General features: G+C 36.1%; 1 protein-coding gene across 3 annotated transcripts in view; it reads left to right on the forward strand.

Moving 5' to 3' along the window:
* The window catches only part of VPS13B (vacuolar protein sorting 13 homolog B), an 864307-nt gene that overhangs the window by 123256 nt on the left and 719035 nt on the right, over window positions 1-22016 (forward strand). For all 3 annotated transcript variants that reach the window (NM_152564.5, NM_017890.5, NM_015243.3), the window contains exons 12-15: window positions 136-223; window positions 6445-6636; window positions 11312-11481; window positions 20020-20214. In NM_152564.5, coding sequence (NP_689777.3) covers window positions 136-223; window positions 6445-6636; window positions 11312-11481; window positions 20020-20214 — 645 coding nt within the window. The remainder of the gene's footprint in view (window positions 1-135; window positions 224-6444; window positions 6637-11311; window positions 11482-20019; window positions 20215-22016) is intronic.

Below are 22016 nucleotides of genomic sequence, written 5' to 3' on the forward strand. Positions count from 1 at the left end.
ATAACCTCTGTTCTTTTGGTCATCCTTTGTGTTGTTATACATTCTATATAAAGATATGTGTCTAACCTATCAAGCTTTAAACTCAAAAGTTTCTTTTATACAATGTTTATTCTGTTTGCATTGCTTTGTTGGCAGGAGACATACACTGAGATAGCTGGAATGCAACGGTTTGGGGCTTTTTATATGGATTACCTGTATACAATGGAGAACACTAGTGGCAAAGGTATTGGCTTCTTTCCTTTATGTGTGCCATTTCTTGAACAACTGAAACAAAGCCTTCCTCAGAATCAATTGGTCCTTGACTGGTTGTACTCTGCTACATAAGATTTATCTTCTAGTACTTTGGGGAGTGGTTTAATTTTAACATCATGTTAGAATTGTCTTAGATTCTTGTCATTTCAAATCCATTCTTTATACAGCTGACTGAAGACATTTTGTATAACCTGTTAGAATTAGTTCTCATGTGTACCATATATTATGATTCTGATATATCAAATTTTATATTACATTAAATTTTTAAAAAGAATAAACCTTTTCTATTCTAAATACACTTTGAAGGTGATACTAATTTTTAATTAAAAAGAATGTGTTGTATCAATCAGAAAAATAGAAAATCTTCCAGAGACTTTAGATGTATATATTGTATTATTTTATTATGTACCTTATTATTGTATTATTTTCTATTTTTTGGAAATAAATGACGTTTAAAACATTTCAACACTTTTTTTTTTACTTCTATATCAATATATGATGTACTTACTATTTCAGTCTTTTTTATGTTGAAAAGTTAGCGAAAATAGGTTCACAGTTTTTTTTGGTGAATTTTTCATGTTTTATAAAAATGATTTCAGTGTATTAGGTGATATGTTAGGTACAGATGAATGCAATGAAAACCAAAGCATTTCCCAAAGAGCCAATAGGTGGTGTTGAACTAGGCATTTAAGTAAATGATTATAACGTAGCATGTTAAGAAGAGTAGTATAGAGAACTAGAAGTGTGGGTAAAAAAAAAAAAAAATGACAACTTTTGCTTGTGAGATTGAAACTTCGCAGAGTTGATCTTGAAGTAAATTTGTTTTTGATGAAGAAAGAAGGAAAGAGCAGTAAATTTCTGGCTTCTGCTTTTGGAATGGTTTCTAAATGTTGATGTTTTCATTGGTCAATCCTTAATTTCTTTCCCTAAACTTTCTCCCAAGTTAATTTCATTCTTTTCCATGGATTTAAGTACTTTCCATATGTTGTTGATACTCAAATTTGCATTTTATAGTCCAAAGTTCTCTAAGATTCAGAATTAAATATCCAATGCATACTTGACGTTTTTGCCTCTGTGTCTTTCAGATATCTCAAAACTGATTTTGTCCAAAATTGAGTTATTAATAAATATTCCTATGACCACTTACTACCTCTGCTTCTTTATTTTTAGGCTTCTCTTCTTTGAAAATCGTACTATCCTCTTCTTGTTGCTCAAGCCAGAAGCCTGGGAGTCATCATGACACACCTTTTCCCTCGCTCCTAGCCATCTGGTCCACAGATGATAACAGTGGTATCACTGTTACCATATGGACTAGCATTTAGTTCATATGTACCATCATCTCTAGATTCTAATATATATATATTTTTTGAGACAGAGTTTTGCTCTGTTGCTCAGAGTGCAGCGTCATGATCTCGGCTCACTGCAACTTCTGCCTCCCTGGTTCAAGCGATTCTCATGCCTCAGCCTCCTAAGTGGCTGGGACTACAGGCATGCGCTGCCATGCCTGGCTAATTTTTGTATTTTTAGTAGAGATGGGGTTTGGCCATGTTGGCCAGGCTGGACTTGAACTCCTAATCTCAAGTGATCCATCCACCTTGGCTTCCCAAAGTGCTGGGATTATAGGCGTGAGCCACCGCACTCAGCCAGGTTCTAAAGCTTTCTTACTGGTCTTCCTGCTTTCATTGTAGTCCTATAGTTTCTACTGCAATCACAGGGATTTAATTCTCTGCTGTTAATTTTCATGGGCCTGACATTGGTTTGTTTAAAAACAAAATTTAAATAGTTTACTAGATTCTGGTCTTGAGTTACTTGGTGGATAGTGATAACTATTAAGAAAGCTAAATAAGAGGAAAATTTTTGGAGGAAAAGATGAGTTTTGAGATAACTGTGGACATTGAAGTGTAAATATTCCTTAGCCAGTTATATATATGAAAGTGCAACTCAGAAGTCTTGTGTTCTAATAGCATTGCAAATTATTGTAGTGTTGTAGTTGCCACTTGTAAACTGGTAGGTTTCCTCTTGTTCAATATAATGTCTTATGCATGTGCTGTGGATTCCATGTCTTGTGAGGAGGTGAAGTATGTAGTAGTTACCTTTTAAGCAAAGGAAACCTAGCACAGAACATCTTTATTTGTATATATGCCTCTCCTGCAGTTTTTAAAAGATAGAAACATGATTTATGTTTGTTAGATTGTTTATATATTACTTCTGAGAAGCCAGTAGTTTGTTAACTTTTGGGTTTTTCATATTTTTCACTTCCATGAATACTATACAGTGTTACAGATATTATAGTCCTTAACTTTTAAAACAAAATATTGAATATTGCACATGTACAGAACAGCAAATAATTTAAAACTGAACACCTGTGTATTCTCCACGCACACCAAGAAATAGGACATTGTTAGCATCCAGTAAGCCTCCTATGTGTTTCTTTTCTACCACACTCTGCCTCCTTTACTGGAGGAGATTGCTGTTTTGAGATTCATGAGAACCACTGTCTTGCTTTTGGTTTATCCCCATTTTACAGATGAGGAAACAGCAAACCCAATACAGGTAAAGTAACAAGAACCAAGATCACACACAGTATGTGGGATTTGAACCCAACCTATCCAGCTCTAGAGCCTACATTTATAACTATTCTGTTGATATTTCCTTTTTTTTTTTTTTTTTGTTTGAGACCGAGTCTTCCTCTGTCGCCCAGGCTGGAGTACAGTGTTGCAATCTCGACTCACTGCAAGCTCCGCCTCCCGGGTTCATGCCATTCTCCTGCCTCAGCCTCCCCAGTAGCTGGGACTACAGGCGCCCGCCACCACGCCTGGCTAACTTTTTGTATTTTTAATAGAGACAGGGTTTCACCATGTTAGCCAGGATGGTCTCGATCTCCTGACCTCGTGATCCACCCGCTTCAGCCTCCCAAAGTGCTGGGATTACAGGTGTGAGCCACTGCGCCCGGCCCTCTGTTGATATTTCTTTCTTTCTTGGTTTACCTGAAACAAGAAATTTGTAGAATTTTAAGTATTAATGAGCTAGGAAAAGTAATGAGTTCCTATAAGAGGATACTTGTAAATACTTAAAAAAAAAAAGCTTTATCTAAAACTCTTGTTTTTTTGTGACAACTTTTTTTTTGTTTCTATAGTCTACATTATCAAAAAGTGCCCTAAATTTTATTAAGTAAATATCTAAACACGTATTGAGCCAATATTTTTACAGAGTTTGTAGTGAATCCTGATAGTTTGAAGGCGGATTTGATTTTGTGTGTTTTAAGTAAGTTCATGGCAGTATTCTAATTAATGTAAGAAACTAGGCTGAGCGTGGTGGCTCATGCCTGTAATCCCAGCACTTTGGAAGGCTGAGGTGGGCAGACCATGAGGTCAGGAGTTCGAGACCAGCCTGGCCAACATGGTGAAACCCCTTCTCTACTAAAAATACAAAAATTAGCCGGGGGTGGTGGCAGGCGCCTGTAATCCCAGCTACTTGGGAGGCTGAGGCAGGAGAATCACTTGAAACCGGAAGGTGGAGGTTGCAGTGAGCTGAGATCATACCACTGCACTCCAGCAGCCTGGGCAATAAGAGTGAAGCTCTGTCTCAAAAAAAAAAAAAAAAAAAAAAGGAAGTAAATACAGTAATAAAGGAAGCTTCTATTATTTATTTTTCTTGTAATAAATGATAAAATAGTATCTTGTCCACATTATACTATGGCATATAAATAAAAATTAAGTTTCCTCTGCTACTATTTGGTATTGATGATAAGCTGCTGCTTCTCTTCTTCTCCTCCTTCTCCTCCTTTCTTCTTGCTGCTGCTGCTGCTTCCTCCCTCTCCTCCCCTTCTCTTCTCCTCCTCTCCTTCCTCCTCCTCCCCCTCCTTGCCTTCCTCCCCCTCCTCCCCGTCCTTCTCCCCTTCCTCACCCTCCTCCTCCTCCTCCTTCTCCTTCTTTGTGAGTATACTTTAGTCATTTTTGTTTACAACTGAAACTCTGGAAAAATTAACATCTTTTGCCCAGGAGCTTCTTACAGACACCAGTAAAAGTTTGAACCTTGTGTTCCACAAGATAAGCATCTTCTGACAATTATTTTACTTTTTTTTATGGTACTTGAAAGCAAGTGATGTTTTAAAAACTAAATGGAAATATTTATTATTAATATAATTGTGTAAATATTTGTTAATGTTGTAATGACTACCTTTCTAGTCTTTTCTGTTTAAGGGGGTTATTACAAATGTTATGGACCCTAAAGTAGATAGCTGAAATTGTAATGTACAACAGGAAGATTTTAGAGATAACCAATTTTAGAGATACAATAGGAGATAAATCTGAAACAATTAAGTTATTGAATTGAAGGGCAAGAATTGAGAAAGAGTCTTGACTCTTAATAAGGGCAGCCAAACATTCAGGGAGCTGGAGTGGCCAGATGCATGAAAGGTGGGCACAAGTAAATAGCTGAAAATATATAGCTAAAAGCCAGTTGTGTTTTTACATTTCAGACAAGCCATGGTATCTAAATTTAAACTGCATTATATTCAGTTTTCATTATGGGGGGCATTGGCCTGTATTATTTTAGAGACAATTTTGTGTCTAAAAGAAGAGTCTTGTTATACAGTGACATCATTTAGGGAGTCTATTATCCCCTAAAGGACGCATAGCAGGGCATTTTTATTGCTTTTTGAGTATTTTGATTTGTAACCGAAGTTCTATCTTTAAGTTACCTCATTCTGTCTTACATGTAATTCTAGAAATGTAATGGTTTTAGCTATGAAAAGTAATGGTTTTGATGTGAATGGTATGTTATTTATACCTAATTCCTAATGTGAGTCAGTATTAATCATACATCTTACAAAATATGTATAAGATTAATTTTGTATGTTTTATTTGATGTGACATTGGGCTTATAGATTTTTACTTGTATTATATAGTTAACTTTAAAATAATCTTTGCACTAAGTCGTCTGGTTAAAAATATGTGAGTAATAAATCTAATTAATTTTTGGCCAGGCGTGGTGGCTCACTCCTGTAATCTCAGCACTTTGGGAGGCCGAGGTGGGCGGATCATGAGGGCAGGAGATTGAGACCATCCTGGCTAACATGGTGAAACCCTGTCTCTACTAAAAAAAAAAAAAAAAAACAAAATTAGCCGGGCGTGGTGGTGGGCGCCTGTAGTACCAGCTACTCGGGAGGCTGAGGCAGGAGAATGGCATGAACCCAGGAGGCGGAGCTTTCAGTGAGCCGAGATCACGCCACTGCACTTGAGCCTGGGTGACTGAGACTCTGTCTCAAAAATAAATAAATAAAAATCAATCAATCAATTAATCTAATTCATTTTTGTTCATATGATGAAGACTAAAGATTGAGCTGTACTCCTTTGCATGAAATAATGGAAATATATTTTTGTATAAAAGTATTAGAAGGTATAGATATAAAAGTTTTGTGTAAGTAGGCTTTTCTAGTTTCTAAGGTTATTAAATCCTGGAAAATTCTTTCTTCTTTTTGTCTGAATAAACAAAATGCATTATAAATTAAAAATCATTTTTATCACAATAATGGATTCATGTATACAAAAAACCTCTCATTTAAGAGATGTACATATTAGATAATGACACATGCCTATACCTGGGGCCAATATCTTATTTAGAAAACAGTGTATGAGGAGATGAGGAGTCTAGGAAGTAGGATTCTGTACCATGGAACATCGCTATAATGAATCTATTCTAGAAAAAGTTCAAAGCAGGTAATACCTACTGTTCATTTCCATGGTCATTATAAAACTCTCAAGGCACCCTGTGATCATGTTACTTAAATAACCCAATTTTCAATAGACTAAGATAATTTACTAAGATAAATTAGTAAAATGGAGTTTCCTCCAAAGTACCCCCTCTCAGTCAATGCATATTGTGTATAGAATTACTAGATATAAGCCAATTAGGTTTTGCAGAATAATTTTCTAAGAATGACAATTTTGATTTTATATTGCTTGTTATAATATTAAATAACAGGAATAAATTTTAATGAATTGCTTTTTATCAGTAATTTATTATATGCACAGAGAAATACAAATCAGCAGGGCTCTCTGTATGCAGCTGATTGGGAATTTGTTTTAAGGCATTAAGCTACAAGCTATAAAAATGAGAGAAGAGCGATTTTAAAATATTTACTTGGTATATCCAATTGATGCTTAAAATATAAAATTTGACTTCTTTTAGGTTCCACAAATCAACAAGACTTTTCTTCAGGGAAAAGTGAAGATTTGGGAACAGTTCAGGAGAAGTCCACCAAAAGCCTTGTTATAGGTCCTCTTGATTTTCGTTTGGATAGCAGTGCGGTGCATAGGATTTTGAAAATGATTGTGTGTGCCTTGGAACATGAATATGAACCATATAGCAGGCTAAAATCAGGTTTGTTTCTGGATTAATTTTGAATCTTTTGCCATTTGTTTTGAGAATAATTATATAATCCAATTTGTGTTGTCTTGCTAACTTTACGTTTTTAGTGTAATTTGCCTGTTTGCAAGGACTTTGATATATGTAGCTGTTTATTTAAAGAATAAACTTGTGTGTAGAAGTTGGAGAGATCAAGATTTGAAAATTATTGCACAAGTACTTTATTTGCCAGTATTTGTCAGTATTTTATTGTTATACCTTTTTGATACTTTTTCTAGTGGATACTTGTGAATATGATTTTTTTTTTTCACATTAATGGATTCTAAGGAGCCAGATACAAAATTGGGCTCTAAACACACAAATTTAACATTGAAGAAAACTTAGGCACTGCTGGTTTAGAAAAAGTTGCTGTACAACTAATTTTTTCTACATGGTAGATAGCTATAGTTGTCATAGTTTCATAAAATACGAATTCCTTTTTAAAGCAGTAAAGCAACTCTAGAGTAGAGCATAATAGTGTAATGAGGAAGTATAAGATAATGAAGAACTCACCCTGTGGAGTCAGACTGTGGTTTAAAATTTGACCCTCACTTCTTAGTATCCTTAAGAAATTTAATTAACATCTTTGATGTTTCATTTCTCTGTCTCTACAATACGTTTAGTTACTGTGACAGAGATGGCTAATTGTCTCCTCAATATCCATCCTTTTTCATAGTAATAGAAATTTCTATAACAGAAGTAAAGACTATACATTTAAGGGATAGTCATATGACTAGGTTCTGTCTACTGGGATGGGAGCAGAACTTTATGTGATGTTTTGGGCCATGACTTTAAAAGGAAAAGAGCATGCCTTCCTTCTTTTCTTCTCTTCTTTCTTCTGGCTGGAAAATAAATACAATGGTATGGGCTGGACCTGCCATTTCAGATCCTGAGATTAAAGCTGCATGCTGAGGATGACAGAGTAGCAAGATAAAAAGCACCTAGGTCCTCAGTACTGTGATGGCACCATGTCCGCCCTGGATCCTTTAGACTCAGATTGTTTCATGAAAAAGAAATAAGGACTGAGCATGGTCACTCATACCTGTAATCCCAGTAGTTAGGGAGGCCAAGGCAGGAGGATTGCTTGAGCCCAGGAGTTTGAGACCAACTTGGGCAACATGGCAAGACCCAGTCTCTACAAAAGATTAAAAAAAAAAAAATTAGTTGGGTGTGGTGGTACATGGCTGTGGTCTCCGGGCTGAGCAGGGAGAATTGCTTGAGCCTGAATGGTTGAGGTTGCAGTGAGCTGTGATTGTGCCACTGTGCTCCAGCCTGGCCAACACAACAAGACCCTGTTTCAAAAAAAAAAAAAAAAAAGCTGCTGTTTTTGTTGAAATTTCTATTACTTTACTTTTGTCCCAGCAACTTTACTGTTACCTTAAATGATACACTGATAGGACCTACTTCCAATGATTGTTCTGAGCACTAAATGAGATAGTGCACATAAAAGCACTTAACCCAGTGTACAGTAAGTGCTTGACACATTCATGCATTCATTTATTATACCTTACTTGAATGCCTACCCTGTGCCAGACATTCTTTATGTGCTAGGATAGTATAGCAAACAAGACATACAAAGCCTTTGGTCTCATGGAGCTTATATCCTCATGGGGTAGACAAATAGTAAACAAGTTAAAATATTTCAGTCATTGATAAATACTAGAGAAGAAAAATAAAAGGAAGTGTGAGCAAGAGTGCCAGAAACAGAAGGAGGGGAGAGCTGTTTTAGTAGGGACTTTAGGAAAGTTTTCTCTGAAGTTTATATGTGAGCTAACTTGTGAATGATGTAACGGAGTGAATCATGCATGTATTTGTGAAAAGAGGGTTTTATGTAGACAAGTGCAAGAGCCTTGAGGTAGGAACAGTTTGGCAATATACAGGGATACAAACAGGCTAGAATAGCTGAAGCACAATAAATGTTTGTAAGTCATAGAGGTAGACATCAATCACCTTGTTGGGTTTTAGGGACCATGTAGTCTGGATTTTATTCTAAATGTGATGGGAAATCATCAGTAAGTTTTGAATAGGAAGTTATTAACTTATTATTTTAATAGTAAATAGTATGGTTGGCATATGTTTTCATTTTAAAAAATTTAGATTTTCCTAGTTTTACTTGCACTCATTTGTGTGCATGTGTATTAAGTTCTATACAATTTCATCACCTTTGTAGGTTTGTGTGTTCACTACCATGGTCAAGAAAATGAACAGTTCCAATACCACAAGGATCTGGCATGTTGCTCTCTTACAACCACACCCACTTCCCTACCATGTTCCTTTCTCCTCCCTCTTTTCCAGGGGCTAGGGATAACCCCTGGAAACTTTTGTCTTCCATTTCTAAAATTTTGTCATTTCAACAGTGTTAAATAAGTGAAATCATACAGTATGTAAGCTTTTGAGGTTGACTTATTTTGCTGAGCATAATTCTCTGGAGACTCATTCAAGTTGTTGCATGTATCAGTAGTTTGTTTCTTTTCCTGCTGAGTAGTATTCCATTGTATACATATACTATAGTTTGTTAATTCCCTCACTTATGGAAGAATATTTGGGATTATTCTAGTTTTGGGCTATTACAAATAATGCTGCTCTGAACAGTTGTGTACTGGTTTTTGTGTAAACATTTCTTCAGGATAAATTGCTGGGTCATATGGTAGTTGCATGTTTATTATTTTTTTTAAAGAAACTACCAAGCTGTTTTCAGGAGTGGCCATACCATTTTACATTACCATCCAACGATGACTGTGTGATCCAGCTTCTTTACATCTTCCCAGCATTTTGTTTTGTCACTGCTTTTTATTTTAGCCATTCTGATAGATGTGTAGTTTTAATGAGCAATCTGCCATCTCATTGTGGTTTTAAAGTTGTGTTTCCTTATTGGCTAATGATGTTGAACATCTTTTTATGTGCTTATTTGCCATTTTTATTTCTTCAGTGAACTGCATATGTCTTTTGCTCAGATTAATTGGGTTAATCTGAAAGTTTTAATGTTTTTCATTTTATACTCAAGTATGTCATCATTTTGAATTAATTTTTTACATAAGGAGTGAGGTTTAGATAGGGGTTTATTTATGTGTCTTTGAATTTTCAATTGCACTAGCACCATCCTTTCTTTATTGAACTGGTTTTTTACCTTTGTAAAAAATCAATTGAGCATATTTGTGTGGGTCTGTTTCTGAGTCCTCTAGTTTGTTTTCAGTTAGTAGACCTGTGGTATTTCCCACTGTCAGTACCATGCTGACTTAATTACTGTAACTCTATGGTAAACCTTTATATTGGAGGGAGAAGTTATTCATTTTGGTTTTGAGGGAACATTTGCTTAGGTTAGAAATAACCTCATTATAACTTTCATTTACATATATCTCTAATGGAATATTGGGTTGGCTGTTTCGTTTTGTTTTTGTTTGGAGATGGGGTCTCACTTTGTCACCTAGGCTGAAATACAGTGGTGTGATCATGGTTCACTGTAGCCTTGATATCCTAAAATCAAGTGAGTCTCCTGCCTGAGCCTCCTGAGTTGCCAGGACCATAGGTGTGCACCACCAAGCCCAGCTAATCTTTGTTTTTTTTGTAGAGATGAAGTCTTACTATGTTGCCCAGGCTTATCTTGAACTCCTGGGCTCAAACAATCCTGCCTTGGCCTCCCAAAGTCCTGGGATTATAGGCATGAACCACTGTGCTGGCACTTGACTCTTTTAATATAGATCTATTGGTGTTATTTATTTTTCTCATGGAAAAGTCCAAGTTGGTCAGTATTCCAGGGAAACTGTTTTATGAGGTTGTCTTAGACCCAGATTCCTTCTATTTTATTGTTCTGCCAACCCCAGAGATATGCCATATATACATGGTCAGAATTGGGTCACCATTATAGTGTGTAATTTTAATCAGGAGGAAGGGGGAACAAGACTATAAAGGAAGGTATGTAGTCTTATTTATTTATTTATTTAAGATGTAGTCTCGCTTTGTTGCCCAGGCTGGAGTACAGTGGCGTGATCTCGGCTCACTGCAACCTCTGTCTCCCGGGTTCAAGAGATTCTCCTGCTTCAGCCTCCCGAGTAGCTGGGATTACAGGCACCTGCCACCATGCCCAGCTAATTTTTGCATTTTTAGTACAGATGGGGTTTTACCATGTTGGCCAGGCTGGTTTCGAACTCCTGACCTCAGATGATCTACCTGCCTCAGCCTCCCAAAGTGCTGGGATTACAGGTGTGAGACTATTTCTTAACAATTTTTAGGAGTTTTTAAAATTTTTGTTTTTAATATGCTGTGGATACAAGTCCCTCATGGAGCTGGATCTTCCCCCTCCCCATCTATCTGTAGCAAATATTTTCTGTCAGTCTGTGTCTTGCCTTTACATTATCTCAATGGTATTTTACTGACCAAAAGCTGTTACTCTTTTAAAGAAAGAAATTGGGGATTTCTTAAAGATATATTAAAATGAAAAACTGGTAAATTTTTATATAACAAAGATACATTTACATTCGAGAATAGTGCAACTTATATTTGTTAAAGGTAACTTATTATTTTATACCTGCTTCATTGTTGAAAAGAAAAACAGGATTTGACCTTATAGTTTGGAGAACTAATTCATTTTTCAGTTGTTTAAGAATATTATTTAAAAATATTCTTTATTAATTTTTTATCATTTTAATTTTAGATATTAAGGATGAAAATGAAACAATACTGAATCCTGAAGAGGTGGCTCTTCTGGAGGAATATATTCCTACTCGACATACAAGTGTTACTCTCCTCAAATGTACCTGCACAATTTCCATGGCTGAATTCAACTTGCTGGACCATTTACTACCTGTCATTATGGGAGAAAAGGTATATTTTGTGATTTGCTATATTTTTTTTCCCTCATATATGGATTTTTTTTTTTTTTTTTGTCATTTACTGAAAGAATATCTGCAGCCGGGCACAGTGGCTTGAGTGTGTAATCCTGGCAATTCAGGAGGCTGGGGCAGGATGCACACTTGAGGCCAAGAGTTTGAGACCAGCCTAGGCAACAGCAATACCTTGTCTCTAAAAAAAATTTGGCACGGTGGCACATGCCTGTATTCCCAGCTCTTCAGGAGGCTGAGGTGGGAGGATTGCTTGAGCCCAGAAGTTTGAGGCTGCAGTGAACTATGATCACGCCACTACACTTCAGCCTGGGTGTCACAGTGTGACCCTGTCTCAAAAAAAAAAAAAAGAAAAAGATAAAAGTATCTGCTTATATAGTTATCCATGATGAAGTAAAAGCAATGTAACTATGAACTAAAAATTAACTGTTAATTTTTAAAATGTAATTTTAAATTTATATTTTTAATAAAATAAACTTAATCTTGAGAGTGTATAAAGAAATGTTGAAGAATATGGGCCTAGAAGTCAGACCATATGCCAGCTATAATGCCATAGACAATTACTTTATATCTCTAAGCCCTGATTTTCTCTTCTCAAAAAGAAAACAATTGTATTTTTTCAAGCAGCCTGACTATTTTAGTTTTAGCCAGTAAAACTGTCAGCCTGCCTAGATTCAGACAGTTTATTACTTACATAGACAGCAGAAGCAAAGTCAGTAATGGTGCCAGCTCCCCTGTCCCTTGTTCTATAGGACAACCTGTAAACAAAGGGCCAAATGACTTCTATTGGTACATGGTGGGGCACCCTGTTGGCAACAATTCAGTTTCACACTGCAGCTAAGCAGTGGTGTAGCTTAGCGCATATGTGGAAAGCCCATAACTCAGCTGAATGAGGAATGCTGATGAGAAAATGTTTCATGGCCGCCTCTCTCAAGATGGGAAGGTGAATGAGAAATGCTCTTTTAGCAGCTCCTCACAAGACCACATATGATCCTTTGTTTTTAGAGGATCACAGGATATTCTACCAAGGTCTGCTGTGGTTGAGTATTGCCTTCATGGCATGGATTTGTGTAACATTATCAGGATGCTGGTACAGACTAGACCCACCATAGTACTTAGCTCCTAGGATTATTTTAAATTTTCATTGAAATAATGCATGTAAACTATTTTGCATGTATTAGGAACTGAGTGATGTCTGCTGTAATTGTTGAGAATGCTTAATATTTGTTTATGGTCCATATACAATGTATTGCTTTCTGAGTTTGACTTATACATACAAGGCCTTATTTGTTCGTTTGTTTGCTTTTTGAGACAGAGTCTCGCTCTGTTGCCTAGGCTAGAGAGCAGTGGTGAAATCTCAGTTCACTGCAACCTATGCCTCCTGGGTTCATGCAACTTTCCTGTCTCAGGCTTCTGAGTAGCTGGGACTATGGGCGCATGCCACCACGCCCGACTAATTTTTGTATTTTTAGTAGAGACAGGATTTCACCATATTGGTCAGGCAGGTCTTGAACTCCTGACCTCAGGTGATCCACCTGCCTCAGCCTTCCAAAGTGCTGGGATTACAGGTGTGAGCCACCACACCTGGCCTATGTGTTTTTTTTTTTTTTTGATATATTTCTTTTGATGTTCATATAATGATCAGGGGTCCCCAACTCCTGGGATGCGGACCAGTACTGGTCAGTTGCCTTTTAGGAACTGGGTTGCAGAGAAAGAGGTGAATGGCAGGTGAGTGAGCGTTACCACCTGAGCTCCGCCTCCTGTGAGATCAGCGATGGCATTAGATTCTCATAGGAGCACAAACTCTATTGTGAACTGTGCATGCAAGGGATCTAGGTTGGCACTCCTTATGAGAATCTAATACCTAATGACCTGAAGTGGAACAATTTCATTCTGAAACCATACCCCTTCTCCTGTCTGTGGAAAGATTGTCTTCAATGAAATTAATCTCCGATGCCAGAAAGGTTGGTGTCCGCTGACAGTGATAATCATAGAAATAAAAAGTGTCCTAACTTTAAAGAAGTTATGTAAGGGAATTAACTATATGCATTAACTTTATTTTTGCTCCCTACTGGCCACTCATCATTAAGTATGGTAGTGTATTACGATTAAGAGATCATGTAGAGAAAATTTCACTGGAGACAATTAAAATATGTCTGCATTTTGTCATCTCTGTTTTTGCTATCATCTAATTTTTAAAATAGATACTATTTTTTAGAGCAGTTTTAGATTCACAAAGCAGAGTGAAAGGTACAGAGATTTTTCATAAACTGACTCCCCCCACGTACATAGCTTCCCTCTTTGTCAACATCCCTCAACAGAGTAGTATGTTTGTTACAATTGATGAACCTGTATTGACACATCAGTATCACCCAAAGTCCACAGTTTACATTAGGGTTCACTCTTGGTGTTTTATGTTCTATGAGTGTTGAAAAATATATAATTATCTGCTATAACAATATCACATAGAGTAGTTTCAATTCCCAAAAAATCCTTTGTGCTCTGCCTATTCATCCCTTCCTCTCCCTAACCACTGGCAACCACTGATCTTTTTACTGTCCTCACAGTTTTGCCTTTTCTAGACTGTCATATAGTTGGAATCATATAGTATGTAGCCTTTTCACATTGGCTTCTTTTACTTAGTGATATGGATTTAAGTTTCCTCTTTGGCTTTTCATGGCTTGATAGCTGATTTCTTCTTTGCACTTACTAATATTCCATTACAGATGTACCACAATTTACTTATCCATTCACCTACTGAAGGACATCTTGGTTGCTTTCAAGTTTTGAGAGTTGTGAGTAAAACAGGCATATACATCCACGTGCACGTTTTGGTGTGGGCATGTTTTCAACTCCTTTGGGTAAATACCAAGGAGTGTGATTGATGGATTGTATGCTAAAAGTATGTTTAGTTTTGTAAGAAGCTGCCAAATTGTCTTCCAAAGTGGCTGTATGATTTTGCATCCCTGCCAGCAGTGAATAAGAGTTCCTGTTTCTCCACATCCCTACCAACATTTGATGTTGTCAGTGCTTCGGTTCTTTGCCATTCTAAGACATGTGTAATGGTGTCTTATTGTTTTGATTTTTTATTTCCTTGATGACATATGGAAACATCATTTCATATGCTTATTTGCCATCTGTATATCTTCTTTGGTGAGGTATCTCTTCAGATCTATTGCCCATTTTTTAAGAGTTGTTTGTTTTCTTAATATTGAATTTTAAGGATTCCTTGTATATTTTGGGTAACAGTCCTTTATCAGATAGGTCTTTTGCAAATATTTTCCCCCAATCTGTGGCTTGTCTTTTAATTTTCCTGTATTTTGCAGAGCAGAAATTTTGAATTTTTAGTGAAGTCCTGCTTATCAATTCTTTGTTTTATAGATTGTGCCTTTTGTGTTATATCTGAAGGTCATCATTATACCCAAGGTCATCAGCTTGTATCCTTTACGAATTGGTCCATTTCATCTAGGTTATCAAATTTGTAGGTATAGAGTTGTTTATAGTACTTCTTTGTTTTTTTTTTGAGATGGAGTTTCACTTTTGTTGCCCAGGCTGGAGTGCAATGGCATGATCTTGGCTCACAGCAACCTCCACCTCCCGGGTTCAAGCGATTCTCCTTCCTCAGCCTCCTGAGTATCTGGGATTACAAGCATGTGCCACCATGCCTGGCTAATTTTGTATTTTTAGTAGAGAAGGGGTTTCTCCATGTCAGTCAGGCTGGTCTTGGACTTCTGACCTCAGGTGATCTGCCCACCTTGGCCTCCCGAAGTACTGGGTTTATAGGCGTGAGCTACCACCGCACCTGGCCTTTTTTAGTATTTTAAAAATTATCATTTTAGTGTCCTTGGGATTTGTAACAATGTTCCTCTTTCATTTCTGACATTAGGAATTTGTATTCTCTTACACTTTTTCTTAGCCTGGCTAGAGAGGCTTACTGATTTTTATTGAGCTAGCTTTTGGTTTTGTTTATTTTCTCTATTGATTTTCTGTTTTCAATTTCATTGATTTCTGTTTTGATTTTAATTCTTTTCTTCTTATTTTGGATTTATTTAATTTCCTGAAGTGTAAGCTTAGGTGATTGATTTTAGATTTTCCTTTTTTGTAATATATGAACTCAATACTATAAACTTACCTCTAAGCATTGCTTTCACTGCATGCTACAAATTTCGATAAGTTGGATTTTTGTTTTCATTTAATTCAAAGTATTTTGTATTTCTCTTGAGATTTATTTCTTTGACTTGTGTTCTTTAGAAGTATTTTATTTAATGTCCAAGTATTTTGACATTTTTTAGTTATGTTACTGATTTTTAGTTTAATTCCATTATGGTCTCATAGCAGACATTGTATGATTTCTTTTAAATTTGTTTAGGTGTGTTTTGTGGCTTAGAATGTGTCTGTGTTGGTGAATGTTCTATGTAAGCTTTAGAAGAATGTGTACTCTGTTGTTGCTGTATGAAGCAGTCCATTGATGTCTATTATATCTGGTTGATTATAAGTTCAATTATGTCCTTATTGATTTTCTGTCTGCTGGAACTGATTATATCTGATAGAGGGATATTGAAGTCTCCAACCAAAACAGTGGGTTTGTTGGATTTTTTCCTTGAAATTTTATCACATTTTGCTTTATTTTTTTGGCACTGTGTCTTTAGGCACATCCATGTTAGGGACTGTTATGTCTTTTTACGGAATTGACACCTTTATCATTATGTAATCCCTTCTTTATATCTGATAGCTTTCCCTGGTCTGATTTTTCTTCTGTCTGAAATTAATATAGCCACTCCTACTTTCTTTTGATTAGTTTTAGTAAGGTATGTATTTCTCTATTTTCTTTTAATCTACAAGTGTCTACATATTTAAAGTGAGTTTTGGCTGGGTGTGGTGGCTCATGCTTGTAATCCCAGTGCTTTGGGAGGTAGAAGTGGACTGATCACTTGAGCCCAGGAGTTTGAGACCAGCTTGGGTAAAACCCTGTCTCTACAAAAAAATACAAAAGTTAGCCAGGCATGCTGGTGTGTGCCTGTAGTTCCAGCTACTTGGGAGGCTGAGGTGAGCGGATCACCTGAGCCCTGGAGGTTGAGGCTGCAGTGAGCAATGATCACACCACTTGCACTCCAGCCTGGGTGACAGAGTGAGACCTTGTCTCAAATAAATACATAAGAAAAATTTTTTTAAAAAGTAGGTTTTTTTGTAGACAATATATAGTTGGGTCTTGTATCTTCAGCTGCCTTGACAATCTGTCTTTTAATTGATGCATTTAGACCATTGATATGAAGTTATTATTGATATAATTGGACTAACATCAACCATACTTCTTGCTATTTTCTATTTTTTGCCCTTGTTATTTGTTCCTGATTTTTTTTCCCGCTCTTTTTTGGCCTTTTGTGGTTTTAGTTGAGCATTTTATATTATTCGATTTTCTCTCCTCTATTAACCTACCTGTTATACTTCTTTTTAGTGTTTGTCCTAGAATTTGCATTATATTTTTACAACTAATTCAAGTCCACTTTCAAATAACACCATACCACTTTACAGGTAGTCAGAGTTTCTTATAATAAAAGAAATACTAATTCTGCCATCCTGCTTCTTGTATCATTGCTGTAATTCATTTTATTTTTATATAAGCATTCATAAGCCTGCCACACACAATCATACGTAATTACTTATTACTATTATTATTTTGACAAAATTTATGTATTAGATCAATTAAGAATAACAAAAATTAAAAGTCTTTTTTTACCTTATGCCTTTTCTGATGCTGTTTTTTTTTATGTAGATGTGAAATTCTGACCTTTATCATTTTTCTTCTCTCTGAAGAATTTAACACATCTAGTAAGGCAGATATACTGGAAACAAATTCTCTGAATTTTTTTTTTTGTCTGAGAAAGTCTTTTTTTCTCCTTTTGAAGGATAATTTCGTGGGGTATGGAATTCTAGGTTTGTGGGTTTTTTCCTCTTAAAATACTTTGTTTTACTCTCTTCTTGCTTACATTGTTTTTGAGTGGAGGTCAGGTATAATTCATATCATTGCTCCTCTATAAGTAACATGTATTTTTTTCTGTGGATTTTTTTGGGCGACTTTATCTTTGATTTCTATGATTTGAAAATGATGTGTCTGTATGTAGGTTTTTTTTGTTTTTTTTTTTGGCATTTATCCTGCTTGGTGTTCTCTGAGTTTCCTGGGTTTCTAATTTGGTGTCTGACATTAATTTGAGGAAACTCACAGTCATTATTGTTTCAGATGTTTCTTCTGTTTCTTTCTGTCTTTTCTTCTCTTGTGGAATTCGTATTACATGTATGTTACATCTTTTATAGTTGTTCCACAGTTCTGAAATATTCCGGGTTTTTTTTTGGTTTGCTTTTCAGTTTTGGCAGTTTCTACTGAGATAACTTCAAGCTTAGAGATTCTTTTGTTAGCCATGTCTGGTCTTCCAGTATGCCTGTCAAAGGGAAAAATGCTAACAAGGAGGTCTTACTCAGAAGGCAGCCCAAAAATTTGTATAAAATTTCCTTTAGATTGTTGGCTAATTCCTAAGCTGCCCATGTGTAATGCAAGACTTCAGGAAACCCAGCAGAAAGCAAAGTATAAATTTGACTATTTGCATGGTGCTGTGTATCTACAATTAGAGTTCAGGCCCTGCCACATTAGCACCTGGGGCCTTCCTTTGAGACCTTATAAGGGCCACACCCTAGGAATAAGTACAGATTGAAATAGATTAGTCTGAGCAATCCTAATTCCAGTCCTGGATAGGACCATGATGATGTACTTGTATTCTGTCTGCTTGCCAAAGAATGGTTAACTTACTTTAGGGGAAGATAGCATTATCAAAGCCTCTATAATTTTTTACCCATGATGTCATCTGCTTGATACAAAATTATGAGGTATACTAAAAATAGAAGCAATTGAATTAAATATAATAAAAAATCAATAATATAAATAGACTTAGAGATGATTAAGGTATTAGAGTTGTTAGACATGGAGTTTATGATTAATTGCTTAAGGAAAAAGACAAAAAGGTGGAAGATTTCCAAAGAGACCTCAATCCATTAAAAAAAAGCACCAAATTAAATTGTGAAACTGGAAAATGTAAGGATACAGGTTTGAAGGAAAAGGATGGAAAAAATATACCATTTGAACACTAACCAAAAGAAAGATAGCATGGCTATTTTACTAAGAGATAAAGTAGATTTTAAGCTAAGAAATATTACTGAAATAAAGAAAGCCACTTCATAATGATAAAAGTGTGAACTGAAAGAAAGAACAACACAGATAATTCTCACAGGTGTAATATTGAGTAAAAAATTATATACTATATGATTTCATTTATATGAAGTTCCAGAAGAGAGAAAACTAATCTATGGCAATTGAAGTGATTGGCTACGTCTGTTGAGGATTTAGTATTGCCTTGAAAGGGACATGGGACAGTCTCATAGGGTGCTTCAGATGGGTGGTGGTTACAGATGTAAAAATTCATTCAGCTCTACCCTTCAGATTTGTGTGCTTTATTCTGTGTTATTTTTTAGTAATCCCAAAGAAAGTCACTTAAAAAAGCAACATAATTCCTAAATAAATGGTGGTTTTAAAATTATTAGTAATGAGTAAAAAATCAGCATTGTATTTTCGACTTAGTTTTAAGCACAGTGATTCTCAGTAATGGCACTTTTGGTTTTTTGGATTGGAGAATTATTATGTAGCATTTACCATCTTTGGCCAATACCCGCTAAAGGCCAATATTATTGTGACAATGAAAGACAGACAAAGCAATGAAACTGCTCTTCTTGCATTTTGTCATATTCTTCTGGATGGGAAGTCATGGCATTCCTCATTGAGAACCACAGGTAGAGCATTTTAAGGGAGTGAGTGAGTGAGTTCTAGGACAGGGATCATTTGCCACTCAGGGTACATACGCTGGACATCTTGAAACTTACCTGTATTTATTTGAAAGCTCAGAAAGATTCTGTAAAACTGAGAATACTGTGCCGTCCTCAAGATTCTTAGGACTTTATGAGCCCTTAACATGTGTATTGTTAGTAGATACGATACAGATAAGGAATTTTTCTTACCTGCAAACATTGCTTATTGTGAATGTTTTTGACATTGTGTGGTGTAGTCCATTTAGTTCTTTAGTCAGCTAAATGTGAATAAAAGAGATTAAAATAAAAGATGCTGACTCTTGGATATCTAGGAAACATTTTGGAATAATTAAGCTTAATAAAATATCTTCATCATACTGAGGCATGTCGTGATACTATTCCAGTTGATTGAAAAAGAAAAAAAGCTTGAGCTGAAAGGGCAATGATAATTTTGCAAAAAATATGCATTCTTTGAAGTCTGGGACATATTTAAAATACATGGAAAGACATTTGTTATTTGGTTATGGCAAGAGAGTTCTGTAGAAAGGCATCATTTCTAGATTGATTTGATATCACTGCAAATGTGCAGATCTGAAGCTTGCATAGAGGGAACTGCAACTCAGTCACTGCTCCACTTTTAAAATATAAAGCGAACACTATTATTTTCTAGAACTCAAGTAACTTCATGAATACTACAAACTTCCAGTCTCTTCGGCCTTTGCCATCCATTCGAATATTGGTGGATAAAATTAATCTGGAACATTCAGTGCCAATGTATGCTGAACAGTTGGTGCATGTGGTCAGCAGCCTTACTCAACCTTCTGATAACCTGCTTCATTATTGTTATGTACACTGCTATCTTAAGGTATGAAAAGTGAATTTTCTTGTTTGTTAGCATGGGTTTGGCTTTGGGATCATCAGATAAGTTTCTTTTTTCTTGATGTTGTAATTTCAGAGAAATAGTACTCTAAAAGGTAAGATTTAAATAAGAAATAAGATGTATTTATTCCAATAAATTAAAGTAAGTAATAAAAATATACTTATTTTAAAGATTTTTCAATTATGTGAGATTAGTAGCTTGATATTTATAAATGAATGGTTAATCATAACTTTTGAATAATTTTATTTATCATTGATGGTAATTTTTATAAGCAATGTGAAAGAGCACTTAGTTTAATATGGATGCTTTGAAGACTCATGTTTTTTTGAAGGGAGCATTTGTGTGAGGCATAATGAGGCATAAAGAGGGCCTAAAACTTTTTTATGTCACCTTTATTTAATTCATGTCAATTTATTGATGCAAGGGAAATTTATTTTAAATACAGGCATATGCCATTTTATCATGCATTACTTTATTGTACTTCATAGTAATTGTGTGTGTGTATGTGTGTGTGTGTTTTTTTTTTTTAACAAATTGAAGGTTTGTGGCAATCTTGCATTAAGCAAGGCTTTGGTGCCATTTTTTCAATAGTATTTGCTCACTTCGTGTCTCTGTGTCATATTTTGGTAATTATCCAAATATTTCACAAGTTTTCATTATTATTTTAGCATTGTGATCTGTCATCACTGTTCTTTGATGTTGCTATTGTAACTGTTTTTCGGGCACCAAGAAGTGCACCTATTTAAGATGGTGAACTTGGTAAATGTTGTGTGTGTTCTGGGTCCTCCACTGACCAGTTCCCCCTTCTCTCTCCCTTATCCTAATCCTTGAGACACAACAATATTGAAGTTAGGCCAATTAATAGCCCTACAATGGCCTGTAAATCTTCAAGTGAAAGGAAGAGTCCCATAACTCTACTTTAAATCAAAAGCTAGAAGTAATTAACCTTAATGAAGAAGGCATGTCAAAAGCCAAGATGAGGCCAGAAAGCTAGGCCTCTTTTGCAAAACAGCCAAGTTGTGAATTCAAAGGAAAAGTCTCCAGGAAATTAAAAGTGCTACTCCAGTGAACACAGGAATGACAAGAAAGTGAAACAGCCATATTGTTGATATAAAGTTTGAGTGGTCCAGATAGCAGATCAAACCAGCTACAATATTCCCTTAAATGAAAAGCAAGGCCCTAACTCTCTTCAATTCTGTAAATGCTGAGAGACTTGAGAAAGCTGCAGAAGAAAAATTAGAAGCTGGCAGAGGTTGGTTCATGAAGTGTAAGAGAAGCCATCTCCATAACATAAAAGTGCAAGGTGAAACAGCAAGTGCTGACATAGAAACTAGAGCAGGTTATCCATATCTAGCTCAGTTAATTGATGAAGGTGGCTACACTAAACAGATTTTCAATGTAGACGAAATAGCCTTCTCTTGGAAGAAGATACCATCTAGGACTTACATAGCTAGGGAGGAGAAGTCAATGCCTTGCTTCAAAACTTCAAAAGGCGGCCGGGCACGGTGGCTCATGCCTGTAATCCCAGCTCTTTTGGAGGCTGAGGCGGGTGGATCACAAGGTCAGGAGATCGACCAGCCTGGCCAACATGGTGAAACCCCATCTCTACTAAAGATACAAAAAAATTAGCCGGGTGTGGTGGTGTGTGCCTGTAATCTCAGCTACTCAGGAGGCTGAGGCAGGAGAATCGCCTGAACCCGGGAGGCAGAGGTTGCAATGAGCCAAGATCAGGCTGTTGCACTCCAGCCTGGGCGACAGGGCAAGACGCTGACTCTCTTGTTAGGGGC

This window comes from Homo sapiens, chromosome 8 (genome assembly GCF_000001405.40).
Source record: "Homo sapiens chromosome 8, GRCh38.p14 Primary Assembly".
NCBI classification, from domain to species: Eukaryota; Metazoa; Chordata; class Mammalia; order Primates; family Hominidae; genus Homo; species Homo sapiens.